This window comes from Homo sapiens, chromosome 1 (assembly GCF_000001405.40).
Source record: "Homo sapiens chromosome 1, GRCh38.p14 Primary Assembly".
Lineage (NCBI taxonomy): Eukaryota > Metazoa > Chordata > Mammalia > Primates > Hominidae > Homo > Homo sapiens.
In genome coordinates, this window is record NC_000001.11 from 87111302 (window position 1) to 87117301 (window position 6000).

Below are 6000 nucleotides of genomic sequence, written 5' to 3' on the forward strand. Positions count from 1 at the left end.
AATCTGGCAAAGAGTAGACCTACAGTCCCCAAGTGATCTGGTTTCTGAACTTTGTTTTGCTTTCACAAATGTGAGCCAATTTGCCCTAAATCTGGGTATTTCATGTAGCATCTTGAGAGATGTATTTAAAGTGCCTGTGGCAATAACATTTCATTTGTACCCATTTTGATGATTCTGGGTGCCCTCTTGATAAGGCAGCCAGGTTGTGCTGTAAAAAAAAACAATGTAGAGGTTTCAGTCTTAGGTGTTTGAAACTGTTGGATCTCTCAAAATTGATTAGCTGAAATATACCTTTTCTGCGTAACTGAATTCACCAGTAATTCCATTTGAAGCGGGCAGAGCCTTTCTGAAAATGGATGATCAGAAATGAGTGACATTTTATTCAACCAAGAGTTACCAGAGACATATTTTTTTTCCTTTAAAAGTAATTTAAAATTCGCCAGAGGATTACTAATTAGGTCTCTTGGCATAGCATGGTTATCTGATCAGACTGTCATGCCCATAAACAGTAAAAATGCAGCATGTTGATCCATTCATGTCTGTTTTTAAAGGAGGCTGTGGACTTTAAACTCCTCTCTCGCAGGCTTGCTCTTTGTTTCATGTGGGGGCTCTTTGAATAACACCTTAGATGAGAACAATGTTTAAGAAATAGGCCAGTTATATTTTGCTTTTCTATTTCTACCATGCTAATGGCTCTCTACTTGATCGTTTAATCACTGATCCAAATCCAGATGGAATTAGATGCTCCTTCCTGCTGTAGTCCTGCAGTCAGACAGTCTGTAATGTTTGATACGGATCTTCTGAGTGGACAAGATGAGATTAGATTAGTCTCTCTGGGAGCCAGCCCTATTCATTTTCTAAGAAAGTTATACTGGAGGCCTGAGGACTGCCAAGAGCAAAGTGGAAACAGAGCCCAGCCTTTTCCTCTTATCAAGATCCACAGTAGTTCCACATTAAGTAGTGGAGATTTGAATAATATTGGATCAGAATCCAGGAAGGAGGTCCTTGCCACCCACGATTGAAATGTGAACTTCATGTGTTACAACTTTATTACCTTTTCTTATTTTAATATATGACAAAGACTGAAATCTCTGGCATGGAGTCAGTGGCAAATTTTACTTTTGTGGGTTTTTTTTTCTACATTTAGTATTTATTGAGCCCCCACTGTTTGCCAGGCACTGCACTACAGGCTCTCTCTGCACCATGAGCTTAACCTTTCAGTAATCCTCATATTCAATCCTTTACAACTGTTTAGAACTTTATAATTTACAAGGCGCTTTCATTTCACATTTATCCTCTCATTAGATTCTCACGTGGAAGGGTAGATACCATTATCCTCGTTTTACAGTTGAAACTGACACAGCTAGGAGGTGGAAGATGGGCTCCCCAGCCCTCAAGATTCCTAGTCCATCAAACCCTGATGCCCTTCCTGATATGTGCCTGTCTCTCAAAGTCAGCAAGGGCTGTAATACAGATTAAACAATTGCAGTGGTTCTTAGGCTATAATCCCATCTCTGGACCAATAGTGTCAGCATCCCCTAGGAACTTGTTGAAAGGCAGATTCTTAGGCCCTAGCCTTCTGAGTAGGACCTAGCACTATGTTTATTAATAAGCTTTCAGGTGGTTCTGACCAAGACTAAAGTTAAGAACCACTGGTCTAGAGCACCAGTTTACAGATGAGACGACTGAAGCTCTAGTTGAGCTTAACCTAGCTGGTTAAGTAACCTAAGGCTTCTCATAACAAAAGTTGTGAACTAGGATGTGAACCCAGGTCAGTCTGGCTCCAACACCATCTGTTTTCTACATTGGACTGCGTTATAAACTATAGTGTATCTTATATATTTCATTATTGGTAAATTCCTCTCTGAAATATCGTTTTGGGGGACCACAGAGCAGGTCAATAAGAAGAAAAAAGTCCCAATGTGCTCTTCTGGAGTAAGGCAAACAATGCCACCCCTTCTAATGAGTTTCTGTTTTCTGTGTGAGGTGAATGTGGGGGCTAAACCTCAGCGTGGCTACTAGTGTGCTCAGGAAATTCAGGGACAGAGCCGAGAATCCAAAATGGCTACCCAAACTAAGTGCATTTCATCTGGACTTTCTGGTCCCAGTGTTCTTTGGTCATACTTAATAGTTTACTGTGATGGATTTAATGGCAAGAGGGCTCCTTGCCCTGGCTTGGCAATATCTGTGGAGCCATGGGTTGACGTAGTGTGGGAATACTTGTGGCTACTTGGAAATCCCTGTTGCTGTCATCATTGGCAGTGCTTCCCAGCCGAGATTCTTAGTCTGTGGTCACGTGTGAACTCTTCCAGTCATGCAGCTTAAACAGAAGTGCCCACTTGTTTCTCACAAATTATATCTGCATTTTTTTTTCTCCTAGAAGCAAGAGCCCAGACCAAGGGTTAGTCGATAGCTCAAGGGACTTCCAGGGAAATCAGAACTGATCTTCGTGCATAGCAATGCTTATAGGCTTCCTTCCACACACACTGAGAGATCAGCAGGGCAGTGGACTGAGCCTTCGGGTGCAATGCATTTCCTCAACACATTCTTTTTGAAAGAGGAAGATTGTTGCCCATGTATAGTGTACTTCTTATGTGCCGGCACTGTACCAAGTGCTATGCATTTGTTAACACTCATTTCATCCCCCCTTTTTTTTTAAGAGAAAGAGGATCTCACTCTGTCACCCATGCTGGAGTGCAGTGGCACAACCATGGCTCACTGCAGCCTCGAACTCATGGGCTCAAGACTCAGCCTCCCAAAGTGCTAAGATTACACGCTTGAGCCCCCATGGCTGGCCTCATTTCATCCTCTTAATCCTCTGAGGAAGGTACTACTAGCAGCCCCATTTTACAGATGAGAATGAATTAGAAGTTCAGATGCTTTCTTACAGTCACACAGCTAGAAAGTGGTGGAGCAGGATTCAAATCCAAGTCTAGCTACAAATTTTCTGCTCTTAACCATCCTGTTGCATAGGCTCTGACAGCTGTGACAGGCAGTAGTGGGGGGTTGTTTTGAAAGTCTTGCCATAGGCTGGATGCAGTGGCTCACACCCGTAATCCCAGCACTTTGGGAGGCCCAGGTGGGGGGATCACCTGAGATCAGGAGTTCGAGACCAGTCTGGCCAACATGGTGAAACCTGAGGTCAGGAGTTCGAGACCAGCCTGGCCAACATGGTGAAACCCTGTCTCTACTAAAAATACAAAAATTAGCCAGGTGTGGTGGTGTGCGCCTGTAATCCCAGCTACTCAGGAGGCTGAGGCAGGATAATTGCTTGAACCCAGGAGATGGAGGCTGTTGTGAGCCGAGATCACGCCACTGCACTCCAACATGGGTGACAGAGTGAGACTCCGTCTAAAAAAAAAGTCTTGCCATGTCTTTTCTGCCTCTTTTACACAGCCCCACAGGGCTTGGCAACAGGAAAAGCATGACCTAGGGCTATGGCAGTCACCCATGTGGGCTATAGCTATGGCTGCAACTCAGTGCGGCCTCCAACGACGAGGACTGGGAGTTTGGAGGGGCAAATTTAGGCCATTTTGTTTTCTTGAAATGCTTCCTCCTAGTCCCTAAATTCAGTCCCAGGTCAATAAATGGCAGTTAGTTATTCTCGGTGGTCGTGGTGATGTCTAAAGACTGACAGGATTCCCAGATTCAATGTTGGGAAAATCACCTTGAGTCCACTTTTCAATGTGCTGGGGAGTGAGTACAGGCCAAGTTCAAGTCATCAGTTCCCAGCGGTTCAGCCAGCGTGTCTTGTGAATTCTCCCAGGGCTCTCTGGTTTTAGCAGGGTCTCCATGTGCAAACCTTGCCTTTGCACAAGAGCCACCATGGCAGGAGGTTGACCAAGCTGTTCTGGGGAGGTGAAAGGTGCTGAGAAGTTGATGCTTCCTCCTAAGTGCTGTATGGAGCAGGCTTGGCCCAGATCCAACATGGGCACCCAGCAAAGACTGGTTGTCTCCTGGTGTCCCTGCAGCCCTCCCAGCCATCCCCTCACTTCCCACTGTGGCATGCTGCTTACAGCTCTCTCCCTCCACATGCCTGAGGGCCTTTCTGCAAAGAGGGGTTCAGAGATATCCATGACCAGCCAGTCTAACCTTTTCAGGGTGGGAGGGCAGAGCAGAAGTTTTACAGTGGATACGAGGCCTGAAGCCAAAGGAGTAAAACCTCTGCCTCATGGGAGTCCAGGCATGCTTAGGCAGGAGGGGTGGCAGGTGGGTAGGACAGCCTCTTGACTCCAGAAATCTCACTTCATAAGTGGCACCTGCTCTGAGCTCTCCAGATATCCCTGAATTTGGTTTTACCCTCTGTTCTTGCCTCTTCCTGTCTCCCTCCTCCTGCTCAGTCCCTCACCACAACATTCCTTTTGTGTTTAGGGAGATTTCCTAGCACCTCCCTGGCTAACAGATCAGATCCATCTGAGTCACACTGAGCCTCCCATTTAGTAACTTAGGACTCTGGAGTCCGGGTGGCCTAGGCGTCATGCCAAACTCACTACTGCTAATAGTAATGCTATTATAATGGCTTTTATACTTAAATCTCCTTTCTTCCAGGAGCCCCAAGGTCTTTAACAAATGCAAGAATTACACTACTCTCCAAAAAATAGAAACTGAAGGAAAATACATTCCTTATTCCAAGTCTACTCCTTCATGGCCTTACATAGTTGCTTTGAAGGATGGATCTTTAAAGATTCATAAGCTTTGGTGGGTGAGTGGGGTGGACAAAGGAGATAGGCTTTCTTATTGCCTGAGGCCCCACCAGTTTCACCATCTTATCTTTCGTTGGTTTTGCAGCTCAAAGACCTTGAAACTACATCTGGATGAGTCTAATAAACTGGTATCTTAGAAGAAGAGATAAGGTTCAATACGAAGATGTTTGGCTCTCATACCCCCAGAGGTTATGGGCCCAACAGATGCTCACTGAGCTCAGCTTGTCATTGCGTGGTTTAGGACAGACAACAAGGAACCTTGAAGGATGGAGTCAGCTTAAAAGGCAAGCATTAGGTTTGGCTACACACCCCTATCCTTAGCACCTGTGAAGATCTCAGAGTGCAAAGAGAAATACAGATCATGGCCCACTCCTCTATGCCTGGCACTGCTGGGTGCAGAGGAAGGGAAGAAGCACCAGGGGTGGGCTTGGCCAGGACGTGCCCTCCTTTCAAGGGTCCAGCCACCTTGTTTAATGTAAGGGAAAGAGAATTCATCTTGATGCCAAGCAACATAGCTTCCCGTTCTGACTGCACCTTTTCTCACCTGGCATTCCCTCAATGTCCACCAGGTTGCTTTCTTTCTGTTGGAGGAGAAAATGCTATCTAACTTTAAGTATTAAGATCTGATCTCCTGATTCAAACTCATTCTTCACACTGATGCCAGAAAGAAAGTTTCTGTCTTCCAGAGAGAAAGTTCATGTTGCTTCTTCCCTCAGAAAGTCTCAGTGGCTTCCCACCCACTGTGGGAAGAGGTGCGGCTCCTTTAAGGTAGCATTCAAGACCTTCTATGCTAGGTCCCTAACTTCCCTTTCAGCCTTGTTTATCACCACAGCTCTCTGGTAGCCTGGACCAACCAGGTCACTTATGCCTGCTTTCATACCTTTCTCCCTGTTCTTCTCCCAGTTCTCTATGGAAATCTTTCTCACCGTTCAAGACCTAGCTCAAACAGCATCTCTCTGGGACAGTTTCTTTGATCCTGAAAGTCAGAATTTACTGTTTGTCACTACACTCACAAAGCCCATTGCTTGTTCCTATGTTCAATAATAGTGACATGGGAAGCACATGCTTTTTGAATAAGACAGACGTGAATTTAAGTCCTGGCTCGCTCACCTGTCATGTGCCTTTTGGAAAATCACTAATCTCTAAGTTTCCTTGTTCTACCAAAAGTAAAACCAAAGCCAACTTCACCTTATGTGTTGTAAGAATTGAATGAGGTCATAGCTCTAAAATCCTTGGGAGAAGAACATTGTGGGTGAGCTGAAGGCGTCAGCGTTCCCTAACATTTTGTTCTTGGTAT